Source organism: Homo sapiens, chromosome 9 (assembly GCF_000001405.40).
Source record: "Homo sapiens chromosome 9, GRCh38.p14 Primary Assembly".
Taxonomy (NCBI): domain Eukaryota; kingdom Metazoa; phylum Chordata; class Mammalia; order Primates; family Hominidae; genus Homo; species Homo sapiens.
In genome coordinates, this window is record NC_000009.12 from 108,270,847 (window position 1) to 108,293,415 (window position 22,569).

At 41.4% G+C, this 22,569-nt stretch overlaps 2 long non-coding RNA genes across 5 annotated transcripts in view, besides 1 other annotated feature; both read right to left on the minus strand.

Annotated features, from left to right (window-relative positions):
- Positions 1–11,886, minus strand: part of LOC105376212 (uncharacterized) — a 37,257-nt gene extending 25,371 nt beyond the window's left edge. The window contains exons 1-2 of one of the 2 annotated variants that reach the window (XR_001746880.2): positions 2,063–11,886; positions 518–1,152 (exon numbers count right to left, since the gene is read on the minus strand). This is a non-coding gene — a long non-coding RNA (uncharacterized LOC105376212). Of the gene's footprint in view, positions 1–517 lie in introns of both variants that reach the window. The other variant, XR_930235.3, reaches the window with a different exon arrangement.
- LOC105376214 (uncharacterized) overlaps positions 1–22,569 on the minus strand; it is a 401,533-nt gene that overhangs the window by 227,602 nt on the left and 151,362 nt on the right. The gene's annotated exons all lie outside the window — the stretch shown is intronic.
- Positions 11,730–12,929: an enhancer, noted in NCBI's record as "BRD4-independent group 4 enhancer chr9:111044856-111046055 (GRCh37/hg19 assembly coordinates)". NCBI's record gives its function as "activates an origin of replication core promoter dependent on BRD2, P300/CBP, MED14 and CDK7 cofactors, and independent of BRD4, by STARR-seq in HCT116 cells {active_cell/tissue: HCT116}" and the evidence as "EXISTENCE:reporter gene assay evidence [ECO:0000049][PMID:35650434]".

Here is a 22,569-nt window from a genome sequence, read left to right on the forward strand (position 1 = left end):
ACACTCACCAGTTGGGTAATCTTGGACCCTGGCCTTCAAAATAGGAAAATTACCCACCAAGATGATTGTGAAAAACTAGGACAGTGAATGGCCCACTCAAAGAGATCAATAAATGTGGTGCTTTTCTCTTCTTCAAGGTTGTTGCCCAGATTACCTAAGATCATATACGTGAAAGGGACTTTGTGTCTTGTGAATGGCTTACACTGGTGTTGATTGTTATTATTCTTTTACTTTCCTTTCCTTCTAATTTTTACCTCCAAGCCTTTTTTTAAACCATAGTTTTGGTTTTTATAGGAATTATGCTTTAAAAAGACACCTACCAAGTATCACACACCCAGTGAGGTGTGCCCCATCCATTATCTCATTTAGTCTTCACAGTGATTCATTAATTCTCCCGTTTTTTACAGCGAAGCAAGTGCAACTCTTAAGAGTTGCCTGTGATTTGAAGACTTTGCTGTTAACTAGTGTCAGGACAAACTTTTGAGCCCAGCTTAGTCTGACACTCCACTTTGCCTACCTGGGAGAAGCCTCAGAGATCCCTGTAGCCCGCATATCCTGTCGTATCCACAAGGGACTTGTCCCAGGTCACAGAGAAAATCACAGGCAGCACTGGGGCTAGAACTCACATCTCCTGAAGCTCAAACCAGCACTTCAAGTTCTCTGCTGTTATGTGTTTCAGTCACTTTCCCGACCCAGGAGAGGCACGATCTAAATCATCCTTTCCCAAACCATCACCCAGAAATCTCTATTTGACAAACTTCCGAGACTGCTTTCTTTGTGATGCTTCTAATCCTCATGCGTGGTGAGGAAGATGGCAGGTAGGGGAAAAGCTTAGGAGCTTAGTTCCTGTTTATCCATGTGTCATTCTTTTAGTCCCTGAGGCTACAATATCCATTTAGAAAGATTAAATAAAATGGAGTTGGGGACAGAGAAAGGGGAGCTCAGGGGGAGGCCGAGCGAAAGAAGAAAGTGGAATTCTCTAAGCATTAGACTAAAGAGCCTAAGACATTACTCATTCTCAAATGGGTCTCACTTCTTAAAGACAAACTGGCTTCCTGGGAAATCGCAGGCAGGTGAAAGCAGCTTGGGTGATTCTTTTTTTGTCCGTGAACTTGGCTTTTCTTTTCAGCATTCTCAGGTGCACTCAGGGCCCTGGGAAGAGATTGGGCTTTTTCAAAAGACATTTCCACCTCCTAATCTCTGTGCCTACAAACCAAATATTGATCTATTTAGTAAACCAGCCCATGGGAGGAGAGATTATAAAGCCCTGTTTACTCAGCAGTTGGGCCCCCCTGACAGCTGTTCAATGAGGGATTATGATGTCACAGTGGTAATTACACTATAAACAGGGGATAGGAGGAGAATAAAGCATGAAAGGGAACGCTGGGCTTGTTACCAGGCAACACAAAATATGCAACCTGAAACCAGGCAAGCATGTAAATTTCCTTACAAGCCTCCCAGATGTCCTCACTTTATGGCCAATGCTCAGTTTCAGTTTCAATTTGTTTATTTGCCCTTCTTCAATCACAAATGTGGAGCTGAGAATGTTGGAAGAGAGAAGAGAAAGCAAGGAAAAATAAGACAAGGAGGGCCCCTGCTCTCTCCCCCGGGGGTGTAAGTGGGTCCTGAGAAAGAGAAGGGGCTGAGTCCGCTCTGTGCAGGAAGCTCTAGAGGTCAATGTCCCAGAAGGAAGATCAACCCAGTAAAGAGGCTAAAGGCAGCTAAGAAAAAGAGCCCAGGAAAGAGGAGAAAGAGAAAAGGGGAGTGGAAAGTGAGAAGATAAAACTGGCTACCTAGGAAAAGGAAGAAGAGTCCATTGCAGGATCAGACCCCAGGAACTAGAAGGGGCCCCTGGAGTCCCCACGGTCACAGCCCCACCTAGTGGGTGCCCTATGTTCTTTATGCTATTCTTTTAGTGATGGCATTCCTCATGGTGCCAGGCAGCTCTGCCTTTCTCTGGGTGGCTTTATCGGAAAAGTCCTAGGTTGAGCTGAAATCAGCATCCCGGTTCTAGACGCCTCCCCAACCCATTTGTTCAGATTCCACGCCTCAGGAAAAGTACCTTACAGCCCCACAGAGATTTGGAAACAATGGCCAGGATACCCTGTGTTTTTCTTCCCCTGGATTCTCATTCCAGCAATAGGTCTCCCGGTGGGCTTTTCAGACGAAATTGCTTCTTGCCCAAATCAAACAATTTTCAGTGTGCCTATGTTCCTCTTACAATGTAGGCTTTGAAACCAGACACACCCTCCCAGGTGTGGTTTGACCTCACAGAATTAAACAGAGCCAGCTACATCTCCCCTCTCTAGTCTCATCCATGAGGCCCTGCTGTTTAGAGAGCTACAGAGGTGGGCTGGAAATGGCTGCAGCAGGCGCATGAGAGTGGATTGTTAAATTTTCAGGAATTCTGTGAGCCGGTTGTGAATCCTTGGTAGCTTGAAAGCCACCATGGGGAAAGTATTTGCACCACAGATATCGGGCAAATGCAGGAAACCAAGGCTTTCCTTTACCATCCCCCAGAGAGCGGGTCTACCAGCACACCACTGTCCCCGACCAACCACTTTCCACTTCTTTTGGGATTCAGTGCCTCGCAGAAGATAGGCAGAAGCCTGAAGCCAGAGAGCCTCACAAATGACAGGCCTTCCTACAAAAAGCTTTGAAAGAGGGAACCAGTGCCTCTGTTAGATCTAAAGATCATGGGACAGGAGTTTAATTCCTTTTGACTCTTCCAACTAGCGTGACCACCTTTGCTGACTAAGAACCTTTCTCTTGGGAGTGGCTCACATTATGGCCACACAGTTTTCCACAGGGCCCTCCAAGAGGCAGATGTTGAATGGCCAGGTTGCCTAAATAAATAAATAAATAAAGTCACTAAACTGAATTGTAGAGGTGGCTGCAGTTGCTTGCATGGACACAAACACAGCAGCTCAATCAGTGGCTTTTCTGCAAACCTGGGAATTCTGTGAAATTTCTTCTTTTTTTTAACTCTAGGAATAACTGTCTAGAATGATGGTTTGGCCAGAGCTAAGTTTCCATCCTGGTTCAGCCCCTCCCTTGGTGTTTGATGGGATGTTCATTAGTTTCCCTTGCTGGGCCTCAGTTTCCATATCAGTCAGTGGTATGGGTTGAGTCTTAGGATGTCTAACTGCAGATGAGTTTTGCAACTGACTCCAACATGGGCTGTGGCATTCATATTCTGATGAGTGCAGTGAGCAGAGCTGAGTTGGTTGAGCAGTGTTTTTGTACAAGCTAATCTTACTGTGCAGACTTGCTCTCTGCCTTCACTCCTGTTGTCCTGGGTGATGGTTTGTTTGCTGTGACCAGCCTCTCCTCAGATGCACTGTCAATGCTGATGAAATTGTCCTCAGTATTGCAGCTCTGGGCCAGATTATCTCCCAGAGAGTCTCCTCCAATCCCAAGCTGATTTGAAGTCACTTCCCTAAAAGAGGCATCCTCAGGTGACCCACCCTGAAGCTTCAGATGAAGTAGAGGTCTGGGGGCCTTGGCGAAGCCTCCACCCCTTTGCGAAGATTCTTTCTTTGGATCTTACTGGAACCTTTCTCAAGAGCAAAAGCTCACAGTCTTTTTCGTTTGCCAACCTTATGACAACTTAGAATGCACCCCAGTGCTCATACTGCATCTTCATCCCATGTTCCTTTCAAGAGCCCAGGTTCTGAAGTCAGAGAATCCTACATCATTTGCCAACCCAGTCTTTATCTCATCTCCTCTCTGCCACCCCCAACTGCAGCCATCCTGGCTTCTTGCTCAGCATCTACACTGCGTGTCCCTACTTCCCAAATTGCTCCTTCCACACATGTCCATATGAACTGATTTCCTTGAGTGTTCACAGAACACTCCACTAATCCCTCCCTACTCCACTCCCAGTGTGATCTGTCTCCATAGATTATCACCATCTTGACCATGATGTACTTTACTACCTGCATTTACCCTTTCCCCAGAATGTTAGGTCCAGGAGCACAGAGGCTTTGTTTTGTTCACTGCTGAATCCCCAGTGACTAGAACAGTGTCCGGCACATAGTAGGCACACAATTAATATTTGCCCAATGATTGAATATACAGTCGGTTCTCATTATTCTTGGATTCTGCGTCTGTGAATTTGTTTACTTGCTAAATTTATTTGTAACCCTAAAATCAATATGGCAATTTCAAAGTTATTCATAAACATGTGCAGAGCAGTGAAAAATTTGAGTTGCCCAAAACACCTGTTCTCAGCTGAGGTTGAATAAGACACTGTCTTCTGGTTTCAGCTTTCATGATGTAAACATGTGTCCTCTTCACAGTCTGTTTGGTGCCATGCTTTTCCCATTTTTTGTTGGTGATGTCACTGTTTAAAATGACCGCCAAGCATAGTACTGAAGTGCTATCTAGCGTTCCTAAGTGCAAGAAGGTTGTGATGTGCCTTACGGAGAAAATACTTGTGTTAGATAAATTTCATTCAGGCTTGAGCTTATAGTGCTATTGGCCATGAGTTCAACGTTAATGAATCGACAATATACACTAAAACACGGTGTCCTTAAACAGAAGCACACAGAAAACAAGGTTATATTAATATATTGACTGGTTGATGAAAATGTTGTGAACAGAGACTTTCAGGAACACAAACCTGTATTTTCCCTAAGGGCAATTGTTCAGTATTTACTAATTCAGTGTTCAAAGAGACTGAGACTTTATAGATCATAACAACTATAACAACAAAGAACTACTAGAACAACAAAGATCAACTGTACATGCATGTGAATGTTGAGCACTAGCCCATTAACAGTGGTAGTGATCTGGCAAGTGACTTTAACTCAGCCATGGGTTCCTAAGCTGTAAATTGGTAATGATAGCGCCTATCTGCATGGCTGTTCTGAAAAGTAAGTGAGATTATTAATGTCATCAAATGCCTACCACAGTGCCCAACCCATAGAAGGTATACCAAAGATGTCTGCTCCTCTTACATTTATCTTGTTCATACATATTTGCAATCCACAGACCAAATGCTTTTTGCTTTCTTGTATTATCAGAAACATTTCTCCTTGTAGTTCCCATGACTGAAACAGCCCATCAACTGTTCTGGTCCATTCTCCAACTGTTGGCCATTGAGCTTACATCAAATTTTGAATTACACAATGAGCAACTTTTTAAAAATGTAGTTCTTTCCTCCTTCCCAAGGAGTATATTTCTTTACAGTAAACTCCCAGGAATGAAATTACTAATTTGATGGGTGCCAACAATTGTATGGCCCTAAGAGTAAGTTTTGATAGTGGTGATAAGAGGAAGCTTCTTGACAGACATTCAGTCGGGAGTTAGAGGTTTGCCAAGTGATTCACCCATTCTCCAGCAGCATTCAACTTCCAGGAGAATTCAGATTTGTGAGAAATCCTAACGATAATCTCATCAAATCAAGGAGGGAAATTGAGACTAGAGAAAAGAATTGAGTTGTCCAAGGTGCTCTGGCCAGTAGTCAATACCAGACAAAGACTGGACCCCAGGTCCGCTGACTCTCAGGTCATCATTCTTCCCAACACCCTTTGGCCAGGATGGTAATTAGGATATTCCTACCGGGCTTAGTAACGCTGCTTCCTCAAGCTTTTAGGACCCATGATTTTAAGGAAAGGAAATGTGATAGATAAACTTTATTTTCTACCGATAAATTTAAATATGCTATTTTGTTCACTCCTTTCCCCTTTGAGTTTCCATGTTGACGTAACAAGAAGCAGGATAAAGAAGAGGATTTGTGCTCGTCTTTAGGATACAGTATCAAAAGACCAAGGGAGAATCTGAATATGACCAGCACAGCATTGTCCCCACACCTGTCATTTAAACTCTTCCAACTGTTTTCTGTAGGAGGTACAAAGACAGCAACTTCTCTCACAAGACTTTGAAGCAAATACTGAGCAGTACTTTACTGATATGAAGATAATGAATGCATTCATATAAATCATCATGACAGTAATTAATGGTTCCTAGAGAATGGAATGGCCTCGCAGAGTCACCCACTCTGAGTACAATTTTCAAACCACTCTAGAACTTAACTATCAACTTTGCCTTGAAAAGTTCCTGATGATATCTGAATAGAACAGGCTAGAAGTAGAATAAAGTTTCATACAGAGCTTTATTTCATAAAGTATAGTTCTTGTACACTTTCAACCAAGAAAGAAAATTCCCCTTCGTGGACCTAGTCTCCATGTTGAGCCAAGGAAGACAATAATCCTCACATTGGCATTAAGAGAAGAGTTTTGCAGAAATATCTATCTCAGTTATAATCTGGCATTGATGATGAGATGCATTGATGATGAGATGGCCTAATCTGCCATTAGAAGAATTTTATTGACATGTTATCAGATTTTTCACGTTATCTTTATAGAAGCTAACAGCCCTCTGTTATTGCCTAAGATTGCCAGGAAGGAAGGGAGGGAGGGAGGGAGGGAGGGAGGGAGGGGTCCTAGCTACCCACTTCTAACCCTGAGCTTTTCTTCCTCAATGAACTGATTCACAATCTCATTAAATGAAGGGAAGCAGAAATTGCTCCCAGATTTTCTCTAGGCCTGTTGGATGGTTGCCTCTTTGGCTGGGATGGGATGTTAGCAGAAATCAGCACAGGCTGTCTCACTGCAGAGCAGATGCCAAGGTGAGACTTCATGGCCACCAAAGACTCTGATTTGGCTCTTGTCAAATACAAGGTGATTCTGCATGGAAATATTGAGAAGCCAGAGACATGAGCTTTTTCCTTTTATGCCCCTCCTCTAAAAGCTAGATAAGCCTTGACACATGATGCTTGCTTGATGGGTTTCCTGAGACAAGAAAAGATGATCGGATGATGGGAGCATCCCAGGGTAGTGCTTTGGTAGGGAAGCTACCACCTGACCCTCTGCTGCCTAATTTAACAAATTATGTATCCCCTCCTGAAAATGTACACATTCAGAAAAGCTGAAAAAGGAAAAGTACATGAAGAAGGGACTAGACACCAAAAATGGGAGGAGGAAGGCAGCTTCTATGGCACGTAAACTTCTCCCTCTCTTTATTCCCATTGGTACTATCAGATTCTCCCTAATTAAGCAAGCAGAGAATCCCATTCATAGCCTTAGGTGGAAGTGATGAACGCCGTAAAAGACTAGGGTAACAGTACTGTCTCTGCTGAATTCTGTCCTAAAAGTTCAGAGGGCATGAGGACAAACTGGCTTTGGTAAACAATAGTGCAAACAAATAATGAGGCTAATAAACCATCATTCTATGTGATGCATGATGGAATATACTAGGGGCATTGTTAAATTTTTTATTAGACCACTCTTTGAAAGAACATGACTCGTAATTTTAATTTCAATTATTGTAACTCACGTCACTGGATTCTTGTTATACCAGTCCTACTACTAAAAAGTATTTACAACAATCAGCAATTCTTCTACCTGAAGGCTCACAAATTACACTTAAAAGTTTCAATAATGTCTACTAATCTTTTACTTTGAACAAGACATGAATGGAGATGAACATGGAAGTGAAATATCTTATGAACCTTCCAGTTTTGATATAAAGGACAGATTTGTCACCACATGAAAGCACAGTGGGTAATTACCAGGTGGTTGAAATGACAATTAACTCCATCCTTAATAATTATAATTTGACAGACAATAAATCAAGATGGCAGCCATCTGTAAATAAACACCCACAGAGCCAGCTGAACAATATTGCACAATAGCTTAACCTCATAAACTAGCAAACTAGTTCTGACTAGTGAGCAAGTAAATCTCCTAAACACCAGAGAGAAGCAAGTTTTTGGGTCACCATGTTCCTACATTGTGTCAGCTGGACACAGTTGAGGGCCTAGTGTTGTTTTGTTTTGTTTTGTTTTCATTTGATTTTTTTTCTAGGACAATTACTGTTATTTTCCACAAAACATTAGCTTATTTTAAAATATGGGGTTTATGACTTTTACGGTTCAAGTGAAACTGTTCTCACAAATAGCTCTATCCTGGGGCCTTATGAATCTCCTAGCATACTGTGCCTCGGCCACAGACCAACAGCCACCGTTTACTGCCTCTCTCTATTGAAAGCCTCTCCTCATTCAGCTTCCATTACATTTTTTTTTTTTCAGGATTCTTTCCTGGATTTTGAGAATGTGATGGTATTAGTATCAACAACAGGAACGTATGTTCTTTCTTACCATCTGCTAACTGGTTTATATGCAGTTTATTGGTTAATCCTCTTAATAGCCCTGTGAAGTAGAAATCTTATTTTCTAATTACCCTTAAGAACAGGGAAGCCAAGAATGATCCAGTCACTTTCTCAGGGTCATACAGCTAGTAAACGGGGAGGCAAAGATTTTTAACACAAGTCAATAACCCTGAGGCTGTGGCTCTCAACTCTGCTGCTTCATCTGCAGAGTCTTTATTATTTTTTTTCAGGCTTTATGTTGGTTATTTTTTTTGAATTTCACTAAAATATCCTTTTCTTGGTATGTCAGCTACTCTCATGCAGCTGTCATTTCGTTGCTAAAGAATCCCAAATCTATCTTTAACTCAGGTCTGCCCTGCAAATACCAGATTCTTGTAGCAACACATTGCTGTAACCCCCACCTGGATTTATTCTTTCATTCAGCAAATATCTATTAAGTATCATAACTTGTGGTCAGGCACTGTTAGGTACAAGGACTACAGTGGAAAACAATGCAGAAATCAGTGACTTTGTGGAACATATATTATAGATGCAAGACAGTGGGAGAAATACAAACAGTCGATAAAATTTAAAGGTAAAATATAGAGTATGATTGATGGTGATATGTACTAAAGGGGAAAAAAACAGAAAGGAGGGATTGGGAGATCAGAGGGAGAAGGGAACCTACCTCTTAGGGAAGGTGGCCATAGGAGACCTCACTGGGGAGGTGATGTCACAGCAAAGACCTGGAGGAGGAGAAGGAGCTGCTGAGGTGGGCACCTGAGGAAAAGCCATTCCGGGCTGGGGGACAGTTGCTGGAAGGCTCCTATGCAGAGCATGAGGAATGCTAAGGAATCCAAGATGGCAGAGTGGTTCAGAGAAGGCTGGAGCAGGAGAATAGGAAGCCCCAGAGGCAATGGGGCAAGGCTGCAGGGTTGGGAGGGGTGGGTTACGCAGACCAGCGCTGTGAATACTTGGGGATTTTACTCTGAGTGAGATGGGCTGGCCTTGGAAGGCTTTGGACAGAGGAGTCAGGATCTGACTACTCTTTAAAAGGCCCATCCTGGCCACTGTGTTAAGAACAGGCTGAAGGAGGGCAAGGTGGAAACCAGAGGGGCAGCTTAGGGGGCTATTTCAATAATCCTGCAAAGGATGATGGTGGCTCTGATGAGTGTGGTAGCCGTTCAAGCAGTGAGAAATGATCAGATACTGAATCTATTTTGAAGAAAATGGCAGCATAATTTTCTGAAGGATCAGATGTGGGGTGCACGGGAGAGGAATCATGGTGGACACTTAAACCATTTGCTGAGAAGGGGAAGTGTGACAGAAGCAGGTCTGGGGGTGGGATTGGGGAAAAGATTGGAAGCTTAGTACTAAATATTCCCAGGTGGTTTTTGTATGCATGTGTACAAAACAGACACCGATTGTTTCACACACACACACACACACACACAAACACACAAACACACACGGTCCTTTCTCCTGTATATCCTTAATCTCCATTAACAAAACTATCCAACCAGACATTCATGCTAGATTTAAAGATCCTATTGCCTCTTCCTCATTCCAGCATTTAAGCATTCCCTCTAGGTCATCCCTGTCAGCATTACACAGGTTCTCATTCCATGAGTACACCTTGTTTTCTGTGTCAGGGTATAAATCTTCCCCTCAATACAGGTGATACACTTGGTCACCTTCTACTTGACCTTGCTTCACAAATATCAACCATTGTTTAAGGCACAACTTAAATATTCCTTCTTCTCTGTAGCCTTTATGAGCTCAACAGCAAAATTAGCTACTCACTCCTGTCATTCAAGTATTTCTTATTCAACAAGCCCATATGACTTTTCTATTTTGGGCATCTCTTGGTACTTGTAGTATAGCATGTATGTGGACATGATGAGAGACAAGACCACAGGAGGAATGGGGAATGCATTCATAAAGGACCCTGAACATCATGCTATGAGGATTGTACTTCTCCATCAAGCTGACAGAGTTAGCTCTACAATAGTAGAGTTTCAAGAAAACAGAGGGTCTAGTTTAATGTGAGTCTTCAAGAATTCACTCCAGTAACCATATGAAGGGTGAGCTGGAGGGTAAAATAAGTCAGAAAAGACTTGATGAGCTCCTGAAAAAAGGTAGGTTTAATGGGGATGGAGAATATAGAACAGATCTGGCTTTTCTGAACTAGACTCTATTGGGCTTATGGATACTATTTATTGAGCTTTGCCATTTACCAGACACTATTTTAATTATTATACCTGTGTTAACTTATTTAGTTCTCTCAACCGTCTCATGCAGGAAATAGTGTTCTTAGCTCCATTTTACATAGGAGTTAAACTAATATCTGGATAGGATTGAGTAAGTCACCCAAGTCACATAGCTATGAAGTAAAAGTGCCTAGATGTGAATATAGGAAGCTGCTCCAGAGCCCATGCTCTTCTTCCTCACTGTTCTACCTCCTACAACATAGTGTATTCATATAAAACTATATTTAGCTGAGAAAGAACATTTTCCAACCCATATTAATCCAAATTTAATGTCTACTTTAATAACTTCTGCAAAATCTCCCTTTCAAAATATACCATCTGTGAACAGTACATGCTATAACTTGTGTTTATATGGGTACTTAGCCACTATGTGATGTTTTTCTTAGTCTTTGTTTCCCCTTCAGTCAAATGAAGGGAAACATCTAGCATATGGAAGCATTTCCACTCTACAAGTTGTGCTGAAGGGGAATATTATGCAATTTGCAAACACTGTCAAATAAAATATAAATATGCATTAGAAAAATGCTGTGTGGAGACAAATACATCTTGTATCGATGATTCATTTGGTCAATCATTTTTTTATTCAACAAACATTAATCAGTCACCTATGTTATGACAGGAGCAGTGGTCAGCAGTGGGAAGAGAGAGATGAATAAGACTTATCCCTTGTCATTGAGGAAAACTCACAGGCTTGTGATTTTTATTTTTAAATGATCAGGGCTGGATGAAAATTTTTCAATTGACTCTCATTACTCATTAACCATCTTAAAAATAAAGAAAATCCTGTGTTTTGATTCATGTAGACCTATGGTCTTTAGCCCAGTTCTGCCTCTTAGTACCTAGACATGTTGTCCCATCTATCTGAGGCTCAATTTCCTCAACTTAAAATAAGACAGGATGGTGGTGAGAATTAGGAATACGCCTAGCATATAAGTGCTAGTTTGAATCAGAGTAGTTAAATGAATGACTAATGTGGCTTTTTATTTTTTCAATCACCGGTACCATTTCCAAGGGTCCAGTCAAAAGTCATACCTGTTCCAAAACTAGCAAACAACAACGACAAATAAAAACCTCCCTGGTGGCTTCAGGTAGAAAGGACACGGCCTATCAGGAACTGAATTGGTCAAGTTTTTGCAAAAGCAGACCTGGAATATGCTGACATACCTTGTCAACAGCTAATACACCCAAGAAGGAAGGGCAAGTTTTCTGAGCATCGGCTTATGAAGGAGGAATGAAACTTGCTAAAGAAATGGTGAAGACTTGTACAACAATGAAGAGAACAGCTACTTCAGAACCGGTGTCCCCACAGAGAGAGAAAACTGTTCTCCTGAAAATGTCCCAATAGGTTTTCTTCAGTGGAGTTACACCAGCAAAATGGTTGGTTCTCTCCTGACAGGGGGACCACAGTAAACAAGATTTCATGAATGAGACAGTCCCACCCATCACTGTAGGTGTGAGTCAACAGGGGATTCCCCACAGAAACCCCATAATAATAATAAAAAAAAAAGGTCAGACTGGTTCTTTCACCTCAACATGGCAGGCAGCTTACCCTATAGGAGTACCAGATGGAAAGAGCGAACGGGGAAGGAAACCAACAAATATCACGCACATTTCATGTGTCAAATTTTTTTTGTCAGGCTCTTTTCCTTGGTTAACTTATCTAATATTCCCAGTAACTCAATTAGGCAGGTCGTTATTATTTCTAGTTAACTGGGTGAGGAAACTGAAACTCAGAGAGGTAAGTTGGATTTCTCCTGAAGCTGTTCAACAGGTTTTCTCCAAAAAGATACCAGCTTCTCACCACTAGGAGGTGGAATTTGAATCTAGATCTTTCTGACGTCAAAACCTATGTTCATTCTGCCATTCTGTGTCTTGGAGTAAATCTGAAATCAGTCGGTTTAGGCCATCTGATTATTTTCCATTTGTCAGACCACTCCCTTTCCCCCAAGACAAGTCTCTTACCTTCTCTTCTATCTGCCACAGATGCCCAGGAGACTGACCTGTATAGTGAGTATCACAAATCTCCCTGCCCTCTGGTTTTTGGTTGGGCTTCGCCAAAGAGAAGTGCCAGCAAGTGATCAGAAGGTAAAAGCAGAGAAAGAGATTGAGGTATTTATTCTTCCGTATACTCCCAGCCTTGCACCGAGCTGTGGCTGCAATTCTACCACTCTAGGTCTATTACGCCATGCTTGTTCCAAGGCTCCAGCATTCAAGTTCTATCTCTGGCTTTTCTGCCTGGGACAATAAGACCTTCCTGCTATTGACGATTCCTGGATGTCTAACCATTCCTTGTTGATTCTTTTAACATTGCTTATGTGTCTGTAGATCCTGTCTTTATGAAATTATATTCAGCTAACCCCTTTTGAGTGTACCATTTTGTTCCCTGTTAAGACTCTAATGATATAGTATTGAGCTAAAAACTAGTGTATATTTAATTCCACCATAGTTTAGAGACTTAAATTGGTCTTAAGATATCTAGTAAATAGCATCGTCTTGCATCTTATGGAAATGAATCAGCTGAAATTGCAGTGAACACATTTTGTTTGGAGCTGATCAGCTTGCTGGAGGGCCCATAAACTCCCCACATGTTATTGGCAACCACTACGGTGAATGAAATTTCCCAGTCGCACTTGGAATGTGATGTTTTTCCATAAGGCCGTGCTACGAAGATGAAATCCAAAGAATATGAAAACACGCTTTATGGACCCTGCCAAGAAGTCCTCTAGAATGTAGGCAAAATGGAGCTAAAAGCATTTGTAACTCTGTCATAGAAAGTGGGGCTTTGGTTGGGAGAAGTTTGACTGAAATCACTTGAGCCCTCCTGACGCTGGCTTTTGGGAATGAGTGAGTACTTTGTAAATGAACTGAGAAATGTCTCACCCTTAATTACCTTTTTGAAGCTTTCAGAGGGCTCCTACACAATAGCAGTTTGTCCATGAAACACATAAATCAAAGGGCCAACCATGAGGCCTGAAGTCATACCTCAGTAAATCTGTTAGGTGAAGGCCAAGACTCTGTTTACTAATGCAAAAACAAAGTTGAGATTTTAGCTTCTTATCCTAAAAAGTTTGTCTCCTCCACCCCCCAAAAAGTGCACCAAACAATTGCCAGCTACCTATCCTGATAAGTGTCTGTACAATAGTCTTATTATCTGCCTTAATCCACATACAAAGACCTACCTTATGTTATTTACAGGCACAACATGCAGGAGGTGCTTCTCTCTGGGAACATTTCAGGAGATGCCATTGTTGTTGAGGTTCTTTGGTCTTGTGGCTTTTGGCACTAAGGCAAACGTGGTAACTGCAATTTTCACACATTCGCCCCAGAAGAACATTTTATAAGAGAGTATGTTTGCTCTTCTAAAGCTATCTATGAATTATTCAGTATCTATCCTCTCACTCCCCCAACTCCATCCTAACAGTTTTCCTGCACAAACTTTTAGGGCTTTCCACTAACAGGAGAACACAGAGTAGGTGATCTGATTTTTGCATGAATAAATATAAGTGCTTCATGAATATATTTTTATTTCTAGTCTGTAAGAATTTTTGTGGGATGATAATTACATTTGTTTTAATTGCCCTGTTTGTTTAAAAACACTGGGGATGTTTTTCTTCATCCATCTTCCAGCTTATGTAGCTTCAGACAAGTGACACAGCATCTCTGGCTTTTCCCATCCATAGAACTGGGACACGAGCTTTTGCTTCATTGCACTGTTGTGCTGATTAAATATTATAATCTTTGTGAGCAGCCTAGCATCATGATGGGCATATTAAAGAGGTTCACCAGTATCCAGCCCATGCCATTCCTTCTGAACTGTCAGCATGAACGTATCATGTAAATGGATATAGAGAAGGATGGAAAGGGCCCAGGGAAGATTCCCTATTTGGAGGAAACATGGATTTAATGGTTTGGTGGACAATCTGGGTTCACCCTACCCAAATCTTTGCTGATGTTTTAGATCTTGTACTCAGGCCACCTTTTTCAGGCTTCCCTAGTGGTCAGGTGGTTTTTTACTAGAAATATTTCAGATGGTGAACTTTATATTTTATCCATTTTTTTCTGTTTCTAGATCCTCTCCTAGCTCTCCAGCAGATGCCATTTTGTCCGTGATAGTTTAATAAGTTTCTAATACCATGTGTTTCCAATACCATTTGACTTTTCCCATTATTCTTCTATTTTACCATCATTTATAAACACTTTCTGTGTGCCAGGCATAGTGCTAGGTACTAAGGTTGTAGGAATGAATAACCTGTGGTTCCTCAGCTACAAAAGTTTACATTTCCATAAGGGAGACAGATCAACGAATAAATTCTACAGTGTAATCACGATAGAGGGATATGAGATGTTGTTGAAACCAGTGCCAGGATAGGGTAAAGTAAGTTAGGTGACTAGGATGCAAAATTTAAGAAGACCTGTACTCTCAGTGTCATGGGACTTGCAGAGTTGGCACTTGTACCACCCTGAGAATGAGGGTTTCCTTAAATTTTGTGCCCAAGATGCCTCACTTACCTCACCTTTGTCCTGGCCCTGGTAGAAACATAACAGAGAAAGACCCAGCTCTCCTTTGTGGAATCCAAAAATTTTCCCGGAGCAGATGACCTGGAACCCAAGCCTTTGAGAAAGGGCAAGAGTTAGCCAGGCAAAGAAAGAAAGGTGGGAAAGGTAGAGGTGTCAGCAAATGTACAACCATAGAGGAGAGAGCAAGCATAGCACGCAGATGCACCTGCAAGTAGATTGATATGGCTGCATCAGTGCAAGGTGGCTTGGAGAAGTGGGCGGCAGGACAGGGATTGCCTAAGGATGAAAAAAAGGGCCAGTTCACAGAACCCAGGAGAGAAACATACTGTATATTTAGGAGGACCAAGTAGTTTATCATTGAACTTGGACACATTTGAGGGTGAAAGAAGGTATTACCCATAATTGCTAAGGCAGCAAGATCAAACAGGAATGTGTATGTATATAATACATCTGCAGTACACAGTAAGCTATTGTCTCCTGACATTGTCCTCAATGTAGCACTTCTTCCACTTTCCCTAGGAGTTGGAGGTATTTTACTTTTCTTTAGTATAAGGGGAAGACCTCAGGGAAACAAACAATGTCAGGAAAATAGCTTGTGATTAGGAACCCAGTAAGATCCCTTTATAAATGTGAGGCTTGAAACCATGTTTGGGCCAGTATCACTCCTTGTAAGGACCATGTGACCAACTCAGCAAAGATCTTTCTGCTTTTGAACACTTCTACGCTTCTGAACATGTGTATGAGTTTTGATTTATAAATGCTAAAAGGATTGCAGACTTTTTGTCCACAGTAGTGAATGAACCAGACACTTTAAACGTTTATTCCAGCAAGCATGATGCCGGTGTCAACTGAAGAATGACGTGGTTCATCAATTCATAAAGAAGAGTTTTATTTCTCATAAAGAGCAGCAGCCTGCAGGGTAGCCCTTCTGGTAGGCTGGGAAGCATAGCCTCTGATCAGAAGCCGAGAACAGATACTTGGAGATAAGGGCAAAGGGAACAGGAATTTATGCTGAGCAGAGTGGCTGAATATGCCTATTTAATAAACTATAAGAGGAGTCATGAATATTTATGAAAGGAGAAACACACGCATGTGCAATTGAGATTTATGCCCCATTCATAGGTCCCATGTATAAAATACAGCAGCATTAGCATTATTCGAGGGTGGAGTTTTCTGCCTTCCGATGTCAAAAGGTGAGGCAGAGGATATGAAAACCCTTACTGTGCATTATCTGTAGCACAACTCCATGGTCAGTGGTCTCTTATCAGGCCAAAAGGCAAGGCACTCTCAGATAGTTGGTTACTGACAGTGGTAAAATCTTCCCAGCACTTTGGGAGGCCGAGGTGTGCAGATCACAAGGTCAGGAGTTCCAGCCTGGCCAACATAGTGAAACCCCGTCTCCACTAAAAATACAAAATTTAGCCAGGCATGGTGGCATCCACCTGTAGTCCCAGCTACTCAGGAGGCTGAGGCAGGAGAATTGCTTGAACCCAGGGGGCGGAGGTTGCAGTGAGCAGAGATCATGCCACTGCACTGCACTCCAGAGAGACTCGTTCTTAAAAAAAAAAAAAAAAAAAAATCCTGGTTTCTGGTTTCTGTTTAGCCCTTAGAGAAGAAAGGCTAATGGTGACAGAAGGTCTAAGGAGGTGTTTCCGACCTCTTATCTCATCATGGCCAAGAACTCAGTTTCAAGGCTACCTTTGGGTCCCCTTGGCCAAGAGAGGGTCCATTCAGTTGATTGGAGGGCTTAGAATTTTACTTTTATTTCTCACCAGTAGGCCAACTCATATCCATGTTACCCTCCAAGGGGCTCCAGAGATTTCTGGCCAACTTTTGCTGATAGAATGCAATGAGATTCTGGACTTGAGTGAGGTTTTGATGCACACATTAAAAGAAAACTGTTATGAAAGAGAATACTCATTTATTTAATGACATTTCATACAAATTAGGTCTTTTTGTACATGTCCCTTACTCGCACAACATTGTAATATGGATATAATTTTATTTCTTTCACTTTTTATTACCAAATGCAAAAAAGTAGAAGGACTAGTGTAATGAACCCCCATATGTATATCACCTGGCTTGAAATAACAGTTGATAACCCTTCATAATATTTTAGTTCATAGGTATAATCACAAGCATACATGCACACATGCACACACACACACACAACTTTTAAAGTAAAACAGAGGTATCAGGATATTTGTCCCTTAAATACCTTGTTATAGATTTCTAAATGGTAAGATTTGTTTCCTTCAAATAATAATATCTAATAAAATTAACAACAAAATCAACAGCAACTTCCTAACATCATCTACTATAATTTTCATATCCACATCTTCACATTTGCATCCCTCATTTTCCCAGTTTTATCTTCAAACTTAGACCAATCAAGGACCATGTATGGCATGTACCTGTTATGTCTCTTGTCTCTTAACTCTTTTTTAATCTACAGCAGCCCTAACTTCCTAGGACAATTGAAGAGGTCAAGCCAGTTGTCATGCAGAATGTCCATTTTCAGATTCTGTTCCCTCGCGGTGTCGTTTCCTTACGAGGCCTATTCCTTTTGCTTCCAGCAAGCTGGAAGTTGGATCTAAAGGTTAGGTTATATGCTACTTAAAAGTTTTTGGCAAGAATATATCATAGGTAAGCTGAGTCTTTTTTCTTCATACATCTGATTGCCCATAAAGGATATTAGTGATATTAACATCTATCAAATTGGGTCCATTTAGAGAGCGGAACCCTGAAGTTAGGGAGGTTAGTTGCATACCTAAAGTCATACGGTTAGTAAGAGACTGAAGCAGAATTCAAGTGTTACATACTCACGCAAGTCAGGGAGTGAGGGCTGATGGACATATTGTCAAACTCTCCTAGATGGACAAAGTAGAACTAAATGATGAAGCATGCAAGTAAAACTGCAAGGCACAATCATGGACAAAGTATTGCCTTCAATAAGAGAAATGAGGCTGTGGGGCTGCGATAGCTCAATATTTGACCCAAGAAAAGTTTAGTGGAAAACTTTTAAAAAGCCTATATTACAGTCATTTAAGTGTCAGAAATAAAGTAAACTTTTCAATGCTTTCTTACAGATTTGGACTACAGTGTTCGAGGGGCTTGCATAAGGCATCATCCTCACTCACCTGTCACATAATAGGCAGTTGATAGCTATTTGTCAAATGAATGAAGCTATTTGTGTTAAGCATTGATACCATATTCTACCTCAATCCAGCAGCCAATCAATCCTAAGGGCCATTGATCCTAGTTTCTCAACATCTCTTGACTCCATATTCTGCACTGTTTCTCTCACTGCTTTAGAACAAACCACCCTGTCTCTCCCCAAAAAATACTGTGACAGCATCCTAATCTGTCCACTTGGGCCCCTTTCCAATCCATTCTCCACACTACTGCCAAATAATTTTTAACACTGCAAACTGGATTTAAAATTAGGCCTAAATCCTTTCAGTGGTTTCTAATCACACTTAGGAAAAAATGCAAGAGCTTTACCTTGTCTTATGAGGCTCTGCATAATCCCCCTTCCATCTGCTTCTCCAGGCTCATCTTTTCCTCTATATCTTTTTGTTATTTTGCTCCAAGTCCTATGGTTTTCTCTGATTCCTTGAACATGTCCCTCTTTTTCCTGCTTCTTAGGCTTTGCATATGCTGTTCCCTTTCCTGGTATGTTTTTGCTCACGCTCTGCTTTGTAGCACAGATATCCATACTATTTCACCTCCAATAGCAGTTTTTGTTTTGTTTTGTTCTGTTTTGTTTTTTGAGATGGAGTCTTGCCCTGTCACCTAGGCTGGAGTGCAATCGTGCGATCTCAACTCACTGTAACCTCTGCCTCCCGGGTTCAAGCAATTCTCCTGCCTCAGCCTCCTGAGTAGCTGGGATTACAGGCATGCACCACCCCACCCGGCTAATTTTTTGTATCTTTAGTAGAAAGGGGGTTTCACCATGTTGGCCAGGCTGGTCTCGAACTCCTGACCTCGTGATCTGCCTGCCTCGGCTTCCCAAAGTGCTGGGATTACAGTAGTTCTTTAGGGGTACTTTCCCTGACTCTAAGATTGGGTTAGAACTCCCTAGTGAAGACCCTCATTCGGTGTCTTGCTTTTACTTCGTAGGTCTAGTCAAGTTTGTGACTGAAAATAATTGCTTGTATATATGTATGTCTCTCTAACTAAACTGCAAGTACCAAGCTGTAAGGGTCCACCTAGGTCATAGTCATGTCTGTAATCCCTAGCACTCTTTATAGGCCTAGAACAAAGTACATGCTTAATAAAAATTTATTAGAAGTATAAATGAATGAATGAGTGAATTTATCATTTCGTATATCTAATTAATACATCATTTCTAAGACTGGCTAGTACTTGTGACCTTCGGTCTTCCATACAGTTTCAGCTTTGCAAGCCCTCTTTTGTCAATCAGTCGTGTTCGATATCAGGGTGTTGGATGCCCTCAGATGGGTTCTAAACATTGGTATGGAGCAGATTATTTCTTCATTCATGTCAATTGTAATTGGTAAGTGCAACTATAAGAGCCAGGGAAGCTCAAAAGATGTATCTCTCCAGATTGAGGGGGTGGAGGTGGCGAAGAAAGGATGTCAGAGAGGACTCCCTAAATGAGAGGATTCCTGACGTGAGTTGTAGAGTTGTTTCTGAGTCGGCCATGGAAGTAAGTATACGTATGAGGGGCTTTCGAGGCAGATGGAACAGCATGTGCAAAGGCATGAGAGGAAGAGAGAATATGGCATTTTCAGGGCATTGCAAGTAGTTTGGTGTGGCCCAAGAACTAACAATGGAACCAGAAGCTAGAGGGCTAAATGAGGTCTGGATCACAAAACGTCTTCTAGCCATGTGAAGGCGCTTCAACTTCATGTGAAGGGCAATGGGAAACCAATGAAGGAGGAATGGCAAGGAATAACATGACCAGATACAATTTTTTTAGCAATTGCACAAACAATGGTTCAGATAAAAAGAAAGACACACACTCCAAATTCAACTTGGTAAGTATACTGAATTTGATTTAATACTTGACTTTGTCAGGACGTGTTTTTATGCTTCTTTATCCACTTGCCAAATCAAACATGCCTATAGCACTGTGTGGAAGAAGCATAATCTGCTCTTTAACCCTTTTCTTCTCTAGTGCAGGGAAGTCTGAGTTAATACACTGCTTGATTACTTACACATGGTGAAGGGCCCTTCTCAAGCTGCCCCAGATAGTTGGGTTCTGCCGCTGGTTTTATAGGCTTTATTTATTTAGCCAGAGCTAGAAACATGGAAAACAACAGTCTCTGAGCACATGGACGGGTTTCCCTGCAGGAGTCTGAGCTGGCAGTTATTTTAATTAGCAACACATTTTATAAGGGCAGAATCAGAAATGGAAACATGTCAAGGCCTCTTTAGTTATCGAGTTTGGCAGGTTCCTATGAGTGTGCCCGGGCATGGTAATCAGCTCTCAGTTACTCTCCATCTCTCCCAAGGAAACCACATGCACAGAAAAGTTCTCTATGCATAGAGCCCCCTTGGGAGTTGGAGGACTTACCGATATGACACACAAAAAGTGGAGGATTCAGGAGTCCTTCTGGAGCCAGTTCTGGGAAATACAGTTTTCTCAAGGTAGGCCTAAAGTCATTTGTCTTTGATCTGGCCCCAGACCAGTTTCTCAGTTCTCATAACCTTTCTAGAACCAGTCCTTCTAGATATGCAACCCAGTTTACTAAATTTATCTGTCTAACGTCCACTAAGCACCAAAAAATTGATTTCCCCTTTTTATTGCCATGATGGTTTTGAGCATCCTAAATATATGTGTGTGCATAATATAAACACACACACACACACATATATATAATATATAATTATTGACTTCAGATATATCTAAAATAAACCAAAATACAGTAGTCCCCTCTCATCTGCGGTTTTGCTTTGAATGGTTTCAGTTACCCACAGCCCACCAAAAATAGGTGAGTACAGTACAGTAAGATATTTTGAGAGACAGAGAAACCGTATTTACATAACTTTTATTACAGCATATTGTTATGATTATTTTATTTTCTTATTAGTTATTGTTATTAATCTCTTACTGTGCCTAATTTATAAATTAAACTTTATCATAGGTATCCAGATATAGAAAAAACAACACAGTATAGGGTTCAGTACTATCCACAGGTTCAGACATCCACTGAGTCTCTTGGAACATATCTCAAAAATAAATAGGAGACTACTGTACACTCGTACATTTCAAAATGAGTGGTAACTGTATACTGTTCTAACAAGAAGGTCTCTTAAATGAATGGATTAAGCTGATAAGCTACTGTCTTCTATTCACTTATCCATTCGTGTAATCATTGTGCCAGATATAAGCTAAATGCATAGTCTCTGACTATGAGAAACTCAATTTAATGGGGAAAGTGACCCGTGGACTAAAACACAAATTTAGAACAAAGTAACAAGGGTGGTGATAGACATGCACACAAGGCTCTCTGGTTTGCAAGTGGCAGAAACCAACCTTGAAGCAACTTCACAGAGAGGGAGAACTTGCTGGATGGATAAATATATTGCATTAAGTTCAAAGTCTCATTTTGGAAGCAACCAGGTCCCCAGACCATAGACACAGCTACATTCTCAGGACAGGGAAGGGGAGAGAGAAAAAGAAATTCTTATATCCTAGAAAAGAAAATGCCCTGCAATTTTGAGTATATATTTGGTGAAAAACAACTTTTGCAGCATCTTCAGTTTTTAGGCCAAGGATGTCAGGATTGTGACCCATTGGGTGAGGATGCCTGAGCAACAAGTGAGAGAAGCCTATAAAAAGAATTCTAATTTCTAGTATCAAACAAGCCCTTGTTCTGCCCCACAAACACCTCCTAAAAACTATCAACTAAAGGGCTTTTCAGGAGCACTGCTTTGTCAGACCATCAACCTGAACACCTAAATTATTGTTAAAAAAACAAACAAACAAAAAATTCTTCCGTCCTGGTTCAGCAACACATAAATAAGATCTGTCACAATGCCTCAGGAACCAAAACCAAAGGATTACAAGCTCTTGTTACTCAGAATTTTGGAGCATATTTGGGTCAAAACAGAAGAGAACAGCCTCCATTTTGGGGCACCTAGCCTCCAATTTAATATCTCTTTTCTTGATATTATATTTAAAAAAAACGTTTCAAAATATGAGGCTGCTTTCACTTTGAGAAGCTGGTATTCACAGCCAGAACTGCTAGCAGAAAATCCAAGTCTTCCCAAGAGGTGGCTGCAATAAAAAGTAGAGACGATATTGGCTGCAAACTTAACAGTCATGTTGGGTGGAGCCCACCTTCATTCATTTTAAAGCATGCATTCAACCACCATGTGGCTCCCACTGAGCCCTTCCAGCCTGTGAGGCTCTGTGGAGAAGCCAGGATGGGCAAAGCACAGTCACTAAACATACATTAAGCCCAGAAGGAGGGACAGGCAAGAAACTAGATAGCAAAAGGGCACAGCAGAGTATACTAAATAGGTACCGAGTACTAAAGAAGCAATACATAGGTGAGCTTCGCCTGGAGCTAGGAATGGCTTCATGGGAATGCAGTCTGTGCTCAGAAAGGCCCCAGTTGTCACCATCTTGAACTTTTTAATAATTTTATCTTTG